Source organism: Homo sapiens, chromosome 6 (assembly GCF_000001405.40).
Source record: "Homo sapiens chromosome 6, GRCh38.p14 Primary Assembly".
NCBI classification, from domain to species: Eukaryota; Metazoa; Chordata; class Mammalia; order Primates; family Hominidae; genus Homo; species Homo sapiens.
The window spans coordinates 83,935,229-83,956,013 of record NC_000006.12 but is presented as its reverse complement, the minus strand read 5'-3'; the positions used below and the strand labels follow the sequence as shown (position 1 = coordinate 83,956,013).

Here is a 20,785-nt window from a genome sequence, read left to right as displayed (position 1 = left end):
GCTAAATCACATCAAGATGAATTTCAAACAGGATCGCCACTACCACTGATTTTTCATGATCCATGCTTCAACTATTAGTCTTGCCTTATTTGTGTTCTAGTCTTCCCTTTTTGTCTTGCTGCTTGGCTTTTGATCACATATATTATTTACTTTCACTCAGTTACAGAGAATGAAGATCAAAAGCTACAATGAGATGAACATTCCTTATTAATTACTATATATTATGAAGCTTTGATGGAAGAAGAGGTTGGGCCTAATGTCCCAAATAAGAATTGTGGCACCAATCTTGTGAGTGTAACAATATTGGCAGCCATCACGAGCAGAGAACACTGACTGCTGGCTGTAACTTACTTTTATGTTTTATCTAACAATATGCATAATCCTGGCCTCCAACTCAAACTATACGAAGATTTAAAGACTTTGTTATTTTCTAAAACTGTAAGATTATTAAAGTGCAGTTTCATATAAACAGGAAGAACTGAGAGATGCTTGTTATGAAAGATCTTCACTTCAGTGTTGGGCAGTCTGTTTCCTACTACACTGTTACTCACCTTACTCCTTGTTCTGTAAATGGCACTGGTCCACAAATGCAGACGAGAACTTTGGATTTGTCCAAATTTCTTTTCAAAAATTCAGAAAGAAGAGCTGGTGAAATATGTCCCTGTTTGCCATTCCATTCAGAAATAGGTGCTGAGAGAACAAATTCAACATCCAGTCTAGGGAAAAGAAAAACAGCTTTTTAAAGTTTATTATTTTAAACATATTATTAACATGTTTCAAGTTCAAGAATATATTTCTCCCCTAAAGGAACAATTTAATATATAAAGATACACTTACTTGCTAGAAAAACACTGAAAAAAATTGTAAGATTTAACAAAAACGTATAGGTAAATCTATATTTACTAAGGATTAGCTTTTCCTATAGATAAGGAATGTAATTTGGCATTTTTTTTTAAATTGAACTAATTATCCAAGCATGGTAGCTCACACCTGTAACCCTAGCATCTTGGGAGGCCAAGGTGGGAGGATTGTTTGAGAACAGGAGTTTGAGACCAGCCTGGGCAACACAGTGAGACCTAGTTTCTACAAAAAAAAAAACCCAAAAACAACAACAACAAAAAAAACTGTTTAAACTTAGCCAGGTGTGGTGGCATGTGCCTGTGGTCCTAGCTATTTGGGAAGCTGAGGCAGGAGGATCGTTTGATCCAGTGAGATATGATTGCACCAGCCTAGGCAACAGAGCAAGAACCTGTCTCTTAAAAAAGAAATTAATTAAAAATAAATATATAAATGAAATAAAGATCCCAAGGGATCTCAGAGAACGCTACATTTCTATTAATAATCTACTAGTATTGAAAAAAAAGAACAAATATTGCATGTTCTCACTTATGAGTGGAGCTAAACCCTGTGTACATAAGAACATAAAGATGAGAACAATAGACACTGGGGGCTCCAAAAGGAGGGAGGTGTAGGGAAAGGGGCAAGGGCTGAAAACCCTCCTAGTGTGTACTATGTTCATTGTCTAGGTGACAAGATCAATAGAAATCCAAATTTCAGCATCACGCAATATACCCTTCAAGCAAACCTGCACATGTACCCCCTGAACCCAAAATAAACAATAATAATATGCTGGTATAAATCACAGTAAATAGCAATTACCAGTGACACATGCATTTTAATCTCTGGCTGCAATTTAAGGATATTCTAAAGAGGCTGTTATCCTGCTTATCTCCTTTTCATACGCTGAGAAAAGAGCTTAAACTGGAACAGGAGCATTCCCAAGTTAAGACTCAATAATTCTTTAATGAAAGATTTTTTATATCAAAATATAGACAATTCCTGTGGAATACTCTCTCCTGGGTTTTCTGAATGAAGGTTAACTTACTGTCTAAAAAATTACAGCTTTGAGATGCTGGAGACATGTGGGGGGCACACAGTAAACATCCTGAAATTCTTTTATAATTTCAAAAGTGCCAGAAGGGGTTGGGACCCTTGAAAAGGTTACCTGAAAATAAATTCAGATAACCCATAAAATACAAAGTAATATGAAAGAGGAAGAGAACAGACCTGCTTCTGATGAGTGCCTATGTGATCTCAAACGTCAATCTAAGTAAGCTTGTCAAAAATTTTATTTTAAAGTAGGCTGATAGTGATCTGAGATGACAAGTCTTGAAATACAAATGTATTCATTTAGTCTAAATCATTAGCAGTCATCCAACGACTTATTCCCTCCTCCTCTAGCCAATCAGCTTCAGCAACTTGCCTCCTTCATTTTCTCACACAAAGTCCCTTACCTTCCCATTTTTACTGTCACAACTCCAGATCAGGTTCTTATATCTCATCTAAAATATTACATTAACAGCCTTAGCCCTTAATCTATTTGATATACCATTGCCATATTAGTTCCCCTAAAAACTCTGATACAACTTTACAACTTTTTTGCTTAAAAGCTTCAGTGATTCCTCACTGCCCACAGATTGGTATTTCAGAGTACTTGGGGCCCCAGCTTTTCCTGCTTTTGTTTTTTTTGTTTTTTGTTTTTTTTCTAGCTAAAGAAAATGCCTGCAACTGTAGTAAAAATTGCTATGTGCTCAAAGGAAAAAAATCTCACAAAACTAGGAATCAAAATTAGATAAAATATATATAATTATATATGTTTCCATAATTATATGGAAACATTTCTTAAAATGAATCTAATGAAACACTAGTATGCCTCCAGATGTTAGTAGTTATTCCATGAAAGCAGGCTAACTATCAAATAAGTCTGTGACATACTGGGTTAAAAAAAGTTAAATATATTTCCGTAGAATTTCAGAAAGCCTTATATATGCTAAGTTCAGAGTAAATCTTCAGGAAGGCATATACTGTTTCCCAAATTTATTCAATCACAGAGTCCATTCCGGGGAACACATTAACATTTCAAAGAACACATTCTGAGCAACACAACATCTGAGGAACATCTCCTGGAAGAAACCGAAAGTGCTATAAGGCTCCAGATTAGTGGGCTGCATATCTGTCAGCATAAGAGGCTGGGGAAAAAGAAACAGTTTCAGGTATACTGTTCAATTTACTTCTGCTTCTGGCATCATCAGCTTTTGCTAACTTAAATGGAACTGCCACATTGCCAGTCCCAATACTGACATCAGAAGACAAAAACATATAGTCCACAGAGCCTGTCAGCACTACAGGGAGATGAGCCACAGAGTGTCACTGTGCCTTCTTCCTATGTCTATCTGATATATAATATTTACTTCACATATTAATTACATTCAAGGTCTTTCAGCACCTGATTTTAGCCTATCTTGTTTCCTCAATTGTAAACAAAAAGATCAGAAATGATAACTATTAAGATTCCTTCTAAAACTGATATAAGGTTTAATGGGTTTATTTTTAGTTATTCTGCATCATTCTCCTTCATGCACAATATTTATTTCAACAAAACAACTCTACTCTGTCATTAAAACACTAGAATATCCTGGCCCTCATGTCTTATGCAATCCTACTACCCAGATTTATTTTCCCGCTCCAAGAAATGCTAATCATTTCCCAAAGCCCAGCTCAAAAGCCCCTTCTTCCATGAAGCTCTGATATTCCCACCCTCACAAAAATGGAATAAAATTCTTTTCACTAGATATCTATGGTATGTTTTTTGTTTCTCTCAAGGCACAGACTTTACAGTCACTTATGTACTTTAGAACTTCACCACCACTAGGGTAGTCTTACTGATTTCTTATCTTTTTGTAATGTCAAGCACATTTTGCAGGGAGTGAGCACACAAATCTTTAAAGTGATGTAAATTGTCTTCTATCTTCTATTGGTGCATATAAGTGGGTAAATAGTCCCGTTTCCTTTGTGACCCATTTCCATGCTGCTTAGAATCCCTTTATTTCCCCTCTCTCTTTTGCCCCAACTAACCTCCCAATCCACTCTAGTGTAAAAATAATGACACTAACAACATCACTGTTAATGACACTGTCAGTGTTAATGTCATCAACAATGACAATGTAGGCTGGGTATAGTATTCTCTGCTAAGTGTTTTCATTGTCAGAGGCATTTGTCAAAATGTAACAGATGCTGGAGAGGACGTGGAGAAACAGGAACACTTTTACACTGTTGGCAGGAGTGCAAATTAGTTCAACCATCGTAGAAAACAGTGTGGCGATTCCTCAAGGATCTAGAACCAGAAAGACCATTTGACCCAGCAATCCCATTACTGGGTATATACTCAAAGGATTATAAGTCATTCTACTATAAAGACACATGCACATGTATGTTTATTGCAGCACTATTCACAATAGCAAAGACTTGGAACCAACCTAAATGTCCATCAATGTTAGACTGGATAAAGAAAATGTGGCACATTACACCAGGGAATACTATGCAGCCATAAAAAAGGATGAGTTCATGTCCTTTGCAGGGACATGGATGAAGCTGGAAACCATCATTCTCAGCAAACTAACACAGAAACAGAAAACCAAACACTGCATGTTCTCACTCATAAGTGGGAGTTGAACAATAAGAACACATGGACACAGGGAGGGGAACGTTCCACACTGAGGCCTGTTGGGCGGTGGAGGGGCAGGGGAGGGATGAATTAGGAGAAATACCTAATGTAGATAATGGGTTGATGGGTGCTGCAAACCACCATGGTACACGTATACCTATGTAACAAACCTGTATGTTCTGCACATGTATCCCAGAACTTAAAGTATAGGTATCAAGAGCCTTAAAACAGTTTGACCTAATAATTCTTCTTTATCCTGAATAGTTAGAGAGGTATTGAACAATTTCTAGTCACTATGTCAAATAACAGAGAATTGGTTAACTAAATTATGGTATGCTCACATGACTGAACACAATGCAGTTATTAAAAATCATGGTATACTGCAGGATTTACTAACTGGCACAACTGGCATTTTGGGCTGGATAATTCTTTGTTGTAGGGGGGCTCTCCTGTGAATTGTAAGATATTTTGTAGCAATCCTGGCCTCTACTGACTAGGTGTAACACGTCTTCCCCTAGTTGTGATAATAAATGTTTCTGGGGTGGCAGAGTTGCTTAAGGTTGAAAACCACCTGTTGAAAATATTCTTTATGTAAAAAACACACAATACAATGAGTAGAAATGTAGTTATAAAAATTATAGTTAGTATGACTACATTATTTTAAATATACAAAACAAAAAGGTAGGTATGCATATGAATAGAAAGATACAGACCATAATGTTAATAATTGTTCTTTGGGTGGTAGGATTATGGGTGATTTTTTTCTTATACCTTTTCTATATAAACATGTATTAATTTTATAAAAAGAAGGGAAAATCAACAAATGCTGTTTATAAAAAAATGTACCACTACCTTTACTAAAATAAGATTAATGGTCTCCAAGAACGACTCATTTGAAACAAAAGGAAAATACCTGTTATATTTATATACCACAAAATGTTTTCTAGAAGTCAACCTCATTGTCAAACTGTACCACCTGTCCCACCCCACAAAACTCATTCTACAAAAGCAGAGACATCACAGAGCTAGGGCATTCTGCTGATGGGAGCAGGTGGGCCAATGTGTACTGAATGAACTGAGCCTCATACACTGATCACATATTTGGGAGAAGGATAAGTGGAATTTAGTTTGGATTTCAGTTTACATAATTAGTTAAATCCACTACTGCACATATTTGCCTTATGTTTTGTCTCATTTTTCGTAAGAAAAAAAGGATAAGATTTTGCTAGACTTGGAATGTGGTGAATTGAATCCCAATTGCTAGAACAGTCAAGTTTAATAACACATTTGGATAAAATTTGGGTACACATTTTTTTTTCTGTTCAGATTTCATACTTAATGACATGAAAATCAGATTGAAATAGAAAGAGTAGTATTCTAAAAATTATTCATGAAGTATCTATATTTTTGCAATTCTCCTGAGGGCAGTAATTAGGGAAAATGAAGAGATTCATTCCTTGGGCTGCATGAGAAAATAAGTAAACACAATATCGTGTCACTGTTGGATCCATGTGTACAGGTACATAATAGATGTTACACATATTTTACGAATGAATGAATGAATGTCTGCTACAAACATACTAATTCTGGGCTAGGAACCTACATATGCTAACTCATTGATTCCCATGTCCAAATGATTCTGTGGTGTAGGTATTAATGTTTGTTTTATAGATGGAAAAACTGAAGCTCAGCCAGATAAAGTAATTTGCCCAAGGCCAAGAGATTAATAACTTTCCATTATACAATTTTATTTTGAAGAATTCCATTTGCTAATGATATTCTCTAGATAAACTCTGCGGACAAGCATAGCACACTTGCTGAAAATATTCGATCATATGTCAGCCTCAGAATCCATAATTCCTATCCCTCTCCTTGTTCCACAAAGGATGGAGTAGAAGACTGGGACCTAATTATATAGACAGTAGGGTATTTCTCTTAACTACAAAATTTGTTTTTTAATATTTACAATTCAATAATAATTTAACCACAGAAATGTGTTCCAGTAACATATTTTGGCATCAGGAACTTTACTACTAAAACTGAAAGTGATATAGAGAGGGTCAAGATATGGTAAAGAGTGATGATTTACTATATTAGAAAATGAAGATCCTTAAATGCTAACTAAAATACAACTGTGACTAATTAAAATCATCTCAACTTAAATCTTAACTTTTACTTTCCTTTTTTGTATGGGACACAATAATTATGTTTTGGCTGAATAGTACTAGCAAATGCAATCAATAAGCCTTTAAGGCCAGGGTTCTCCTATGTTTTACATCAAGCCTCAGAATATGGTAAAATTCCTGCTAAATCTTCCAAAGCCATATACACAGGCATGGTCATTTTGTTTTCTAGCTAGGGCTTGACCTGACCTCACTAAAAAAAAAAAAAAAAAGCCCAAAACGCCAGGAGTCTATGGGGATCATAAATTACACAATACTAGGAGTCAGTGCCTCAAGCAAGGACAACAAAGTCTCCAGAAAGAGGTTAGGGAGGAGAGAGAAAGAGCACACCCAAGCCAGCAAGGGAGAGCAAGAAGAGAAAGAGAAGGAACAGCAGAGGGAGGATAAAGGCAGGCCAGAGGTTGGAACACTATCACTTCCGTCAGCAAGCTGGAGAGTACCACTCACCTGATGAGTGCTGTTAGAGCCAGGCATCCAGACATGAAAAAAAAAGGGGCCTTTCCTCATCCTCAAAACTCCAGCCTATGCAACCTCACCAACCCAAATTATGTAGATCAAAACGAAAGAAAAAACACAGTTGACTCTATTAAAAGATACTTTATGTTCAGAGACTGTCAACACTTTCCTTAACAATTAATTTATAAATCAAGTTGAAGTCAAAAGTACAATGTCTATTCCTAAAAAAATAAAATTTTACAAAATTGCTTTTATAAGGTAACTATCTAAAAGAATACCTTAGCCAAAAAACCATCAGAAATACTTTTCTAAAAAACAATCTTAAGCCTACCTATGTCTGTTTACTTTTTAAAAAAATTATTATACTTTAAGTTCTGGGATACATGTGTAGAACGTGCAGGTTACATAGGTATACATGTGCATGGTGGTTTGCTGCACCCATCAACCTGTCATCTACATTAGGTATTTCTCCTAATTCTATCCCTCCCTTTGGCCCCCACCCTGTGACAGGCCCTGTTGTGTGATGTTCCCCTTCCTGTGCCCATATGTTCTCATTGTTCAACTCCCACTTATGAGTAAGAACATGCGGTATTTGGTTTTGTTTCTGTGTTAGTTTGCTGAGAATGATGGTTTCCAGCTTCATCCGTGTCCCTGCAAAGGACATGAACTCATCCTTTTTTATGGCTGCATAGTATTCCATGGTGTAATGTGCCACATTTTCTTTATCCAGTCTATCATTGATGGACATTTAGGTTGGTTCCAAGTCTTTGCTATTGTGAATAGTGCTGCAATAAACATACATGTGCATGTATCTTTACAGTAGAATGATTTATCATGCTTTGGGTATATACCCAGTAATGGGATTGCTGGGTCAAATGGTATTTCTGGTTCTAAATCCTTAAGAAATCACCACACTGTCTTCCACAAGGGTTGAACTAATTTGCACTCCTGCCAACAGTGTAAAAGTGTTCCTATTTCTCCACACCCTCTCCAGCATGTTGTTTCCTGACTTTTTAAATGATCGCCATCCTAATGATGTGAGATGGTATCTCATTGTGGTTTTGACTTGCATTTCTCTAATGACCAGTATGTTTGTTGGCTGCATAAATGTCTTCTATTGGAAAGTGTCTGTTGATATCCTTTGCCCACACTTTCTGATGGGATTTTTTTCCTTGTAAATTTGTTTAAGCTCCTTGTAGATTCTGGATATTAGCCCTTTGTCAGATGGATAGATTGCAAACATTTTCTCCCATTCTGTAGGTTGCCTGTTCACTCTGACGATAATTTATTTTGCTATACAGAAGCTCTTAATTAGAGCCCATTTGTCAATTTTAGCTTTTGTTGCAATTGCTTTTGGAGTTTTAGTCATGAAGTCTTTGCCCATGCCTGTGTCCTGAATGGTACTGCCTAAGTTTTCTTCTAGGGTTTTTATGGTTTTAGATTTTATGTTTAAATCTTTAGTCCATCTTAATTTTTGCATAAGGTGTAAGGAAGGGTCCAGTTTTAGTTTTGTGCATATGGCTAGTGACTTTTCCCAACACCATTTATTAAATAGGGAATCCTTTCCCTATTGCTTGTTTTTGTCAGGTTTGTGGAAGATCAGATGGTTGTAAATGTGTGGCATTATTTCTGAGACCTGTATTCTGTTCCACTAGTCTATATATCTGTTTTGGTACCAGTACCATGCCGTTTTGGTTACTGTGGCCTTGCAGTATAGTTTGAAGTCAGGTAGCGTGATGCCTCCAGCTTTGTTCTTTTTGCTTAGGATTGTCTTGGCTATACGAGCTCTTTTTTGGTTCCATATGAAATTTAAAATAGTTTTTTTCTAATTCTGTGAAGAAAGTCAATGGTAGCTTGATGGGGATGGCATTAAATCTATAAATTACTTTGGGCAGTATGGCCATTTTCATATTGATTCTTCCTATCCATCAGCATGGAATGTTTTTCCATTTGTTTGTGTCCTATTTCCTGGAGTAGTGGTTTGCAGTTCTCCTTGAAGACGTCCTTCACATCTCTTGTAAGTTGGATTCCTAGGTATTTTATTCTCTTTGTAGCATTTGTGAATGGGAGTTCACTCATGATTTCGCTCTCTATTATTGGTGTATAGGAATGCTTGTGACTTTTGCACATTGATTTTGTATCCTGAGACTTTGCTGAAGTTGCTTATCAGCTTAAAGAGTTTTTGGGCTGAGATGATGGGGCTTTCTAAATATACAATCATGTCATCTGGAAACAGAGATAATTTGACTTCCTCTTTTCCTATCTGAATACCCTTTCTTTCTTTCCCTTACCTGACTGCCCTGGCCAGAACTTGCAATACTATGTTGAATAGGAGTGGTGAGAGGGGATATCCTTGTCTTGTGCCAGTTTTCAAAGGGAATGCTTCCAGCTTTTGCCCATTCAGCATGATATCAGATGTGGGTTTGTCATAAACTGCTCTTATTACTTTAAGATATGTTCCATCAATACCTAGTTTGAGTGTTTTTAGCATGAAGGGGTGTTGAATTTTATTGAAGGCCTTTTCTGCATCTATTGAGATCATCACGTGGTTTTTGTCATCAGTTCTGTTTATGTGATGCAATACGTTTATTGATTTGTGTATGTTGAATCAGCCTTGCATCCCAGGGATAAAGCCCACTTGATCGTGGTGGAAAAGCTTTTTAATGTGCTGCTGGATTCAGTTTGCAAGTATTTTATTGAGGATTTTTGCATCGATGTTCATCAGGGATATTGGCCTGAAATTTTCTTTTTTTGTTGCATCTCTGCCAGGTTTTGGTATCAGAATGATGCTGGCCTCATAAAATGAGTTAGGGAGGATTCCCTCTTTTTCTACTGTTTGGAATAGTTTCAGAAGGAATGGTACCAGCTCCTCTTTGTATCTCTGGTAGAATTCAGCTGTAAATCCATCTGGTCCTGAGCTTTTTTTGTTTGGTAGGCTATTAATTACTACCTCAGTTTCAGAACTTGTTACTGGGTCTATTCAAGGATTCAGCTTCTTCCTGGTTTAGTCTTGGGAGGGTGTATGTGTCCAGGAATTTATCCACTTCTTCTAGATCTTCTACTTTATTTGTGTGGAGTTGTTTATAGTATTATCTGATGGTAGTCTGTATTTCTGTGGGATCAGTGGTGATCTCCCCTTTATCATTTTTTATTGTATCTATTTGATTCTTCTCTCTTTTCTTCTTTATTAGTCTGACTAGCGGTCTATCCATTCTGTTATTCTTTTCAAAATACCAGCTCCTGGAGTCATTGATTTTTTGAAGGGTTTTTCATGTCTCTATCTCCTTACATTTTTCTCTGATCTTAGTTATTTCTTGTCTTCTGCTAGCTTTTGAATTTGTTTGCTGTTGCTTCTCTAGTTCTTCTCATTGTGATGTTAGGGTGTCGATTTTAGATCTTTCCCGCTTTCTCCTGTAGGCATTTTGTGATATAAATTTCCCTCTATACACTGCTTTAGCTGTGTCCCAGAGATTCTGGTACGTTGTGTCTTTGTTCTCATTGGTTTCAAAGAACTTATTTATTTCTGCCTTAATTTCGTTATTTCTGCAGTAGTCATTCAAGAGCAGGTTGTTCAGTTTCCACGTAGTTGTGCGGTTTTGAGTGAGTTTCTTAATCCTGAGTTCTAATTTGATTGCACTGTGGTCTGGGAGACCGTTATGATTTCTGTTCCTTTGCATTTGCTGAGGAGTGTTTTACTTCCAATTATGTGGTCGATTTTAGAATAAGTGCTATGTGGTGCTGTGAAGAATGTATATCCTGTTGATTTGGGGTGAAGAGTTCCATAGATGTCTATTAGGTCTGCTTGGTGCAGAGCTGAGTTCAAGTCCTGAATATCCTTATTAATTTTCTGTCTCATTGATCTGTCTAATATTGACAGTAGGGTGTTAAAGTCTCCCACTATTATTGTGTGAAAGTGTCTCTTCGTAGGTCTCTAAGAACTTGCTTTATGAATCTGGGTGCTCCTGTATTGGGTGCATATATATTTAGGACAGTTAGCTCTTCTTGTTAATCCCTTTAGCATTATGTAATGCCCTTGTCTTTTTTGATCTTTGTTGGTTTAAAGTCTGTTTTATCGGAAACTAGGATTGCAACTCCTGCTTTTTTTTTTGCTTTCCATTGGCTTGGTAAATCTTCCTCCATCTCTTTATTTTGAGCCTATGTGTGTCTTTGTACATGAGATGGGTCTCCTGAACACGGCACACTGATGGGTCTTGACTCTTTATCCAATTTGCCAGACTGTACCTTTTCACTGGGGCATTTAGCCCGTTTACATTTAAGGTTAATATAGTTATGTGTGAATTTGATCCTGTCATTATGATGCTAGCTGGTTATTTTGCCTATTAGTTGATGCATTTTCTTCATAGTTTCAATGGTCTTTACATTCTGCTATGTTTCTGCAGTGGCTGGTACCAGTTTTTCTTTTTCATATTTAGTACTTCCTTCAGGAACTCTTGTAAGGCAGGCCTGGTGGTGACGAAATCCCTCAGCATTTGCTTGTCTTTAAAGGATTTTATTTCTCCTTTGCTTATGAAGCTTAATTTGGCTGGATATGAAATTCTGGATTAAAAACTCTTTTCTTTAAGAATGTAGAATATTGGCCCCCAATCTCTTCTGGTTTGTAGGGTTTCTGCAGAGAGATCCCCTGTTAGTCTGATGGGCTTCCCTTTGTGGGTAACCTGACCTTCCTCTCTGGCTGCCCTTAACATTTTTTTCCTTCATTTCAACCTTGGTGAATCTGACGATTATGTCCTGGGGTTGCTCTTCTCAAGAAGTATCTTTGTGGTGTTCTCTGTATTTCCTGAAGTTGAATGTTGGCCTGTGTTGCTAGGTTGGGGAAGTTCTCTTGGATAGTATCCGGAAGTGTATTTTCCAACTTGGTTCCATTCTCTCTGTCACTTTCAGGTACACCAAATGTAGTCCCATATTTCTTGGAGGCTTTGTTCATTCCTTTTCATTCTTTTTTCTCTAATCTTGTCTTCTCACTTTATTTCATTGAGTTGGTCTTCAATCTCTGATATCCTTTCTTCCGCTTGATCGATTTGGCTATGGATACTTGTGTATGCTTCATGATGTTCTCGTGCTGTTTTTCAGTTCCATCAGGTCTTTTATGTTCTTCTCCAAACTGGTTATTCTAGTTAGATACTCCTCTAGCCTTCTGTCAAGGTTCTTAGCTTCCTTGCACTGGGTTAGAACATGCTCCTTCAGGAATTTGTTATTACCCACCTTCTGAAGCCTACTTCTGTCAATTTGTCAAATTCATTATCCATCCAGTTATGTTCCCTTGCTAGTGAGGAGTTGTGATCCTTTGGAGGAGAAGAGGCATTCTGGTTGTTGGCATTTTCAGCCTTTTTGCATAGGTTTTTCCTCAACTTCGTGGATTTATCTACCTTTGGTCTTTGCTGTTGGTGACCTTTGGATGGAGTGTTTGCTTGGTCATCCTTTTTTTTTTGATGTTGATGCTATTGCTTTCTGTTTGTTAGTTTACCTTATAACAGTCAGGCCCCTCTGCTGCAAGTCTGCTGGAGTTTGCCGGGAGTCCACTCTAGACCCTGTTTTCCTGGGTATCACCAGCAGAGGCTGCAGAACAGCAAAGATTGCTGCCTGTTCCTTCCTCTGGAAGCTTCATCCCAGAGGGCACCCACCAAATGCCAGCCAGAGCTCTCCTGTATGAGGTGTCTGTTGACCCCTGCTGGGGGGTGTCTCCCCGTCAGGAGGCTCAGGTGTCAGGGACCCACTTGAGGAGGCAGTCGGTCACTTAGCAGAGCTCGAGCACTGTGCTGGGAGATCCACTGCTCTCTTCAGAGCCAGCAAGCAGGAATATTTAAGTCTGCTGAAGCTGTGCCCATAGCTGCCCCTTCCCCCAGGCACTCTGTCCCAGGGAGATGGGAATTTTATCTATAAGCCTCTGATTGGGGCTGCTGCCTTTCTTTCAGAGGTGCCCTGCAGAGAGGAGGAATCTAGAGAGGCAGTCTGGCTATCATGGCTTTTCGGTGCTGTGGTGGGCTCTGCTTAGTCCGAACTTCCCAGTGGCTTTTTTTACACTGTGAGTGGAAAACCACCTACTCAAGCCTCAGTAATGGTGGACGCCCCTCCCCCCACCAGGCTCAAGTGTCCCCCATCAACTTCAAACTGCTGTGCTTGCAGCGAGAATTTCAAGCCAGTGGATTTTAGCTTGCTGGGCTCCGTTGGGGTGGGATCCGCTGAGCAAGACCACCTGGCTCCCTGGCTTCAGCCCCCTTTCCAGGGGAGTGAATGGTTCTGTCTCTCTGGTGTTCCAGGCGCCACTGGGGTACAAAAAAAAACTCCTGCAGCTAGCTTGGTGTCTGCCCAAATGGCCACCCAAGTTTGTGCTTGAAACCCAGGGCCCTGGTGGTGTAGGCACCCAAGGGAATCTCCTGGTCTGCAGGTTGCAAAGACTGTGGAAAAAGCGTAGTATCTGGGCTGGATAGCACAGTCACTCATGGCACAGTCCCTCATGGCTTCCCTTGGCTAGTGCCAACCACTTGAGCTTCCCGGGTGAGACAACACCCCACCATGCTTCTGCTCGCCCTCCATGGACTGCACCCACTGTATAATCAGTCCCAATGAGATGAACCAGGTATCTCAGTTGGAAATGCAGAAATCACCGGCCTTCCGTGTTGGTCTCGCTGGGAGCTGCAGACCGGAGCTGTTCCTATTTGGCTATCTTGCCCAGGAATCGACCAGTTTAAATTCTTTTAAACATTTACTTACAAAAACAGAAGCTCTAACGGTGAAGACAGAAAACAAACATGTACATAGGGGTCCTCTATAACCACAATTCAAATGTCTGAGGGAGGGCTTCACAGGTTCCAAAGCATTTACGTTATCTTCTCCAAAGCTCACAATACTTTATGAAGTAGAAAAGACAGCATTATTTTCTTTTGAAGATAAAGAGGCCCCCAGAGGTAAGTAATTTGTGAATAAAGTTTCATGCTGGTGAGGAGCAGAATGGCAACTGGAATTTAGGTCTTTAGGCTTCTTGATAAACGCTTCCAATTTTCCACTTTGAAAATGTGTTAAAAAATACTTGAAAAACTAAGAACTTGAACTTCTTTAAATAATTCTCTAAAATGCCACACAACTACTTATAATAAATGTTCTTAGGTCTATGTTTTTAGTATGTAAAGAATAGTAAATACTTCAAGGATAAATAAATTCAGGTGTCATCCTTAATTTTGAAAGTCATTTATTAAAAGACAAAGTGGAGGATGATGGGAGACAGCAGGGAGGGAAAAATGGGAAAAGACCACAGCATTTTCTTATTATGGACATTCAGAAAATATTCAGAAGAACCTCGAGCCCCTGGACAGCTAACAAAGTTCTAAGGGCTTTACTCTTTTAAAAGGCCTAGAATTTTATGTATACCATCCTTTCATATACATACATATTTACTTCAGATCTTTTGTGTAATTTATAAAGCCCTAAAATTCTTAGAAATAGCTTTTAATGATTATAGAAATGCTTTAGAAAGTATGATAACTTATTGAATTCACTTTTTGTGAAAAGATTGTTCTGAACTTCCTACTGCTTTCAAATCTTTTTAGGGGAAATGGAGCATATATTCAGTTAAATTATCTTCTTATTTTAGTTTACTGGGCTGAGCTCTTTAATCAATAAAATAAGTTTTCACTTTTGTTATCCTTTCTGTCCCATTCCACTACTGAGTTCAGCTTGACTAGAACTTTTTTCTATTATCTGTACCAGCACTTCCCAAAGTGTGTACCAAGGATCACTAGTGAAAGAGCGAAGAAGTGTTAATGCAAACAAACAAACATAAAAGGAATTTTGCTAAGCAATGCATAAAAAATTCCTCTCTTGGAAAGTCACAAAGGATACTAACATATTAAAGGCTTTAGAAATCCCATATCATGTTTAATTTTGCTTAATCCATTCTCACCAAATGCTTATTTTATCAGCCCCAGTATAACAGGAAAAATCTTGCATTACCAAACTGGCTACATTGGAACATTTTCAGTGAAACCCAACTCAGTATAAATCACATAACATGATCATAAAGCCCAATATGCATCTTAGTGACACATATATAAGGTTGCCTAGATCTTGCCAGACAGTGTTTCTTTGAGGGAAGGGGAACATTTAACATGATTTCTAGTTAGAGAATTATTGGTTTATTTTTTTTCTTTGAAGGAGCTTCCTGGACAATCAAAGCTTCAACCAGAGAAGATAAGGCATAGACTTACTACCCAGGTATAAATAACTAAACGCAGAGCTAATATCAGTTTAATACCTTTTATCTTTAAATGCTAATTTCTCCAATTGGCTTCTCCAAATTATATCATCTTCTGTTTTATTGAAGAACATCAGCTTCACTTTCCTTAAGAGAAAAAAAAAAACTCAGAAATAACTAATTAATTACATTTAAAATATGCACAAATGGAAAGTCTAAAGTGAACCAGTGTGAATGTTTTAGTGCCCAGTAGGTAACTAAAAATCATCAAAAACTGAAATGAGATAAAAGAACCTAGTTAATAAAATAGCTAGGATTAGAGGAGGCAAAGTAAGAAATGATGAATGAGGAAATGGTAACATGTCTATTAAGGTCCAGTGAGTAATCAATTTAGAATACCTTATACTAATATAACAGCCTCAAAAAGGATCGTAATTAGAGACAAAATTACATACCTGAGACTGGGTATATCAGTCAAAGCATAATTCAGTATTTTAACCATTGGTGTGAAGCCTGTTCCAGCTGCCAACAAAAAGAGATCTTCTAATTCTTGGAACTTGGATATTTTAAAATTGCCCTCAGGACTGCTTACAGAAACAAAATCTCCTAAACAATGAAACATAAGCTAAATCAGAAAAAAAAAAAACAAAAAACAAAACAAAAAACCCAGCGGGGAAACTAAGAAGCCAAAACTAGCTGAATTTAAAACACTGAGGAGTAACAGTATAAATACTTAACTTGCAGACTATTTATCAGTCTTTAAGATATGTAAGTAGTCTTAAGGATACTCATTAGGCCCCTAAGTATGTCTGAATTATATCATTACAGTCAAATTAATAATGAGGTTTTATGATATAATTTCCCACCACTATTTTGCCAAACCATCTGAAGTCTGAAATTTACAAACTACTGCAAAGTACTTATCCACAAATTATCAATAAAGGATTGATTGCTAAACTAAATTCTAAGTACTTCAAAAGCAGAGTCCATATATATTTGTCTTACCTGGTACAGAGTAAAGAACAGATATTCACTATTTACACATTGATTATTAACCACAGTAACAGGATTAGTAGGAGAGAAAATTGAAATAGAAATGCATTCTAAAATCTTATGTTGATTAACACACCAACTTCTCTTCTACCAAATTTTTGAAAAGACCTATTAAGAAGGGCTATTCTGAGTTTAATTCCCATAAAAACAAAGCAAGATCAGAAATGCAGTCAACTATACTTGGAGCATGTCACTTACCAATCTAGAATCAACACAGTTGAGAAATCAGTGCCCATTTTCTACAGCCCAGTTGATATAATCACCATGTACCATTCATATGAGAAAATTACCTTTAGGACTAGATTCAGAAACTTGAAATGTAATCTTAAAAAGGAAAAATAAAGCTGCTATAATTTTTAAATGATTTAAAATACTCTATTTTAAAATGCTTGGATGCTCATAATTTTTCCTGTTTTCCATTGCAGGATAGTAAGAATCTTGCAGTAGTTGATGAAATAAGTATTTGAAAATAGGGCTGGGCGTGGTGGCTCACACCTGTAATCCCAGCACTTCGGGAGGCCAAGGCAGGTGGATCACCTGAGGTCGGGAGTTCAAGACCAGCCTGACGAACATGGAGAAACCCCGTCTCTACTAAAAATACAAAAAATTAGCCAGGCATGGTGGCACATGCCTGTAATCCCATCTACTTGGGAGGCTGAGGCAGGAGAATCGCTTGAACCCGAGAGGCGGAGGTTGCAGTGAGCCGAGATTGCGATGCCACTGCACTCCAGCCTGGGCAACAAGAGCAAAACTCCATCTCAAAAAAAAAAAAATAATAATAATAGAAGCTCCTCATTATAGTTTGAAAAAGACCATAAGATTAGAGTGTCTTTAGGAAAGCCAGATAGTTGTTTACTAAAGAAGCCTCAGAGGAGAGTATTAACTTGGTAACTTTTACCCACAGCCCAGTCTTTCCAATGTTAACAAAATTGATTAGACTCACATAGGATAACTGATGCTAATCAAATTCAGAAGAGATTAAAGCACACATGCCAGAATGGCAACTGACTTACAGCTGGGGTTACATGTATCTAGTGACCTGAACATTACATGTCCCATTGAGGATATCTTGTTTCCAGTATCAGAACACATGGAAAGCCAAATTAATCATGTAAAATCATGTTGCTTAGTGAACACGGGATTGAAACAAAGAGATGAATAATTGTATGGGTTCATTCATTTAGTGTACAACTCTCTAAGTGACACAAATATTTGTGCCATGTCAAGCCTCCCTAAATGAAGTTGAAATAATACTTCATCTTGTTCTTTGAGCTTTCCCTTTCCATGCTCTAGGACAACTCTCCACCCTGCTATGTTCGCAAAAATCTCCGTAAATAGGCTATAATACCATTCCTTAAGTTTCCACTTACTTTATTACAATCATGCGTCAGTCCTTCTCTCACAAGGTGATAATCACCTTCATTAGATTTGTAGGTACTCCAAAATACTTCAGGTTCAAATTCATATACAATATTTTGGTTTACGTAACCAAGGATGACTAATCATATCTATTATGTGAAGTAGACATAATTAGCAGAATCATATCTACTACATTTCAGAAAGTAATGTAATTTTGTTTATTTCCAAATTTTAGTAATCCACTTCACTGGTATCCCAATGTATTGCTAATGCTGCCTTGGAAAGAGGAACACTTTTGCTATTAGGTAAAAAGTGAAAAGAAAATATAGAAAAAGGAGGTGACACCAAAAGGGAGCAGAAGCAAGAGAAGTTTTTAAATCTTAATAGATCTCATTATAGTTCTTTATTCATTCCTTCAAAGTACCTTTACTGGCTGGGCACAGTGGCTCACACCTGTGATCCCAGCACTTTGGGAGGCCAAGGCGGGCCAATCATCTAAGGTTAGGAGTTCGAGACCAGCTTGGCCAACATAGTGAAACCTCATCTCTATTAAAAATACAAATATTAGCCAGCATGGTGGTGTGTGCCTGTAATCCCAGCTACTTGGGAGGCTGAGGCAGAAGAATCACTTGAACCCAGGAGGCAGAGGTTGCAGTGAGCTGAGATCGAGCCACTGCACTCCAGCCTGGGCAGCAGACCATCTCAAAAATAAAACAAACAAACAAAAAAACAAAGCACATTTACTGACAGCCTATTATGTACCAACTGCCATGCCAGGTGGTGGAAATACAAAGATAAGTAAGACAATTTCTGCTCTTAAACTCAAAGTCTTGTAATGAAGAAATATATTTATTCTTATAAAAGAGCTATGAACAAATGTTAGTTATTGAGGGTTTCAGGGGAAGAGGAGGGCTCCATAAAGTGATATTCTGTTTGGGTCTTTTTATTTATTTTTATTTTTTATTATTTTTTTTTGAGACAGAGTCTCGCTCTGTTGCCCAGGCTAGAGTACAGTGGCACGATCTCGGCTCACTGAAACCTCCGCCTCCCGGGTTTAAGCGATTCTCCTGCCTCAGCCTCCCAAGTAGCTGGGATTACAGGCGCCCGCCATCATACCCGGCTAATTTTTGTATTTTTAGTAGAAACAGAGTTTCCCCATGTTGGCCAGGCTGGTCTCGAACTTCCGACCTCAAGAGATCTGCCCACCTCAGCCTCCCAAAGTGCTGGGATTACAGGCGTGAGCCACCGCACCCAGCCCATGTTTGGGTCTTTTTAAAAAAGTACTTGACAGGTAAAGAAAAGGTTGATGGGCATCTTGGGTGTGGCAACTGCATGTACCTGTGAATGAGGATGACAAATCTGTGGAACTCTGAGTAGCACAAGTATTTTTGTATAGCAAGATATGAAGCTGGAGAGATTATCAAAGTCTTTGTAGGTCATGCAGTACAGATAATGGGGACCCATCAGAGGTTTCAAAGCTGCGAAGCAGTAGGGTCAATTGTAAGGAAACAGAAGCCAATGAAGATATGATGAAGGCTTACTGTAAGACAGTGGCAGAAGAGGTAGCTGAAAAAGTCACTGAGATGTAGACTCAACAGAACTTAGCGGCTGACTGGACTGGGAAAGAGAAAGTGGGAAGAATCAAGGCCGACTCGAGTTTCCAGATTGGATCAAGGATGAACAGTGATGCTGCAAATAATAAAAATAAGGAATATGGAGCATGGCCACGCTGTGTAGGACAAGGAGAAGATAACTTTGGTTGTAGACATGTTGAGTTAAAGATATCTGATAGACTCCTACATGGAGATAACTAGAGGACAATGTGATCCAATCTAGAGCACAAATGAGGTTTAAAAAATGTAAAAATACTAACCAATCTGAAGACGATCAAGCTCTGGTGTGAAGAGTCCAGTGGGATAGATTTTTATCAAAAAGTAGATGTATTTATTGTTGGGAAGAACTGGTTCCTTGAACTCTGAGAGTAAGGAACCAGATACAGGTGTATATGGCTTTACTATTTCTGTACCTAGAAAAAAAAATCACAGCAAAATAATTAAATTCTAAAAATCCAAAAATCTCAATGAAAATGAAACATCCAAATTTTGACACTATCAGTATATATTTAAAACTATATACCTAATGGGCATATAATTCTAATTATTTTTCTATATGTATATAGTATATATACCCCAAGCCTATGTGTGCCGAAACAATTTTCACAAATCAATACTGTACCCATAATATAAACAATCTGTTTTTATGATGTATAGTCTAATTTAATAGAAATATATGGTAATAATTTTAGACAACCATCTATTCCATCAGCAAATAAACTTTGTAATGGGCTACAACAAAAACGGCATCAAAAGTTACCATGGAGATGTAAAAAAAAACTATTTACCTAATAATTTTAATTATACACCAAATTTTTAAAAATGTTACTGATGACCAATGGGATCATTTGGCGGAGAAAAAGGAAGAAATTTCACTTTTTACTTTATGTACTTTAAATTGTTTTAATATTTTAACATATTACATATTACTTTGGTAACTGAATAAAAAGAATGTTAATCCAGCTACTTCTAAGAATATATTATTTTCTTAAAGAGTAAAATAAATAAGAACTCATTTTATTTTAGGTAGCCAAATTCCAAAGAGAAGAATCATTGCATGTTTGAAAGACCAAAAATTTTACGCATGGCTCCTCAATGTATACAAAATACATATATAAATTAAAATGCATTGGCAATAACTGGAGAAGATACCAGCTCTTGAATTAGGTAACCAGGCATTAGTGATGAAAAAGAGAAAACCAGCCATTAGTGATGAAAAACAGAAAACCTTAACAGTGCCTCATCATAATATATCATATCTTCTGAGACCTAGGTGGTAACATTTTAGACGACTGCCAGAAACACTACAGCTGACAGGAGAATTTTACCGTTTGCAGCTTCAAAAGGCCAAGAAAATGTTGGACGTCAATAAGAAGGGTATTCAAAACAAGTGAGGTAAATTTAGGAT

At 37.6% G+C, this 20,785-nt stretch overlaps 2 protein-coding genes across 5 annotated transcripts in view; both read right to left on the bottom strand.

The window, feature by feature from the left end:
• RIPPLY2-CYB5R4 (RIPPLY2-CYB5R4 readthrough) overlaps positions 1-20,785 on the bottom strand; it is a 114,064-nt gene that overhangs the window by 11,410 nt on the left and 81,869 nt on the right. For all 4 annotated transcript variants that reach the window (NR_174604.1, NR_174605.1, NR_174603.1 and 1 more), the window contains 4 exons: positions 19,638-19,790; positions 15,808-15,958; positions 15,413-15,499; positions 552-716 (listed from right to left, as the gene is read on the bottom strand). Coding sequence is in view for 1 of the 4 variants with exons in the window: in NM_001400774.1 (NP_001387703.1) it covers positions 552-716; positions 15,413-15,499; positions 15,808-15,958; positions 19,638-19,790 (556 nt within the window). In the remaining 3 variants the exon portion in view is untranslated. The remainder of the gene's footprint in view (positions 1-551; positions 717-15,412; positions 15,500-15,807; positions 15,959-19,637; positions 19,791-20,785) is intronic.
• CYB5R4 (cytochrome b5 reductase 4) overlaps positions 1-20,785 on the bottom strand; it is a 107,735-nt gene that overhangs the window by 11,410 nt on the left and 75,540 nt on the right. Inside the window, exons 12-15 of the mRNA NM_016230.4 lie at positions 19,638-19,790; positions 15,808-15,958; positions 15,413-15,499; positions 552-716 (exon numbers count right to left, since the gene is read on the bottom strand). Of these exons, the coding sequence (NP_057314.2) occupies positions 552-716; positions 15,413-15,499; positions 15,808-15,958; positions 19,638-19,790 (556 nt within the window). The remainder of the gene's footprint in view (positions 1-551; positions 717-15,412; positions 15,500-15,807; positions 15,959-19,637; positions 19,791-20,785) is intronic.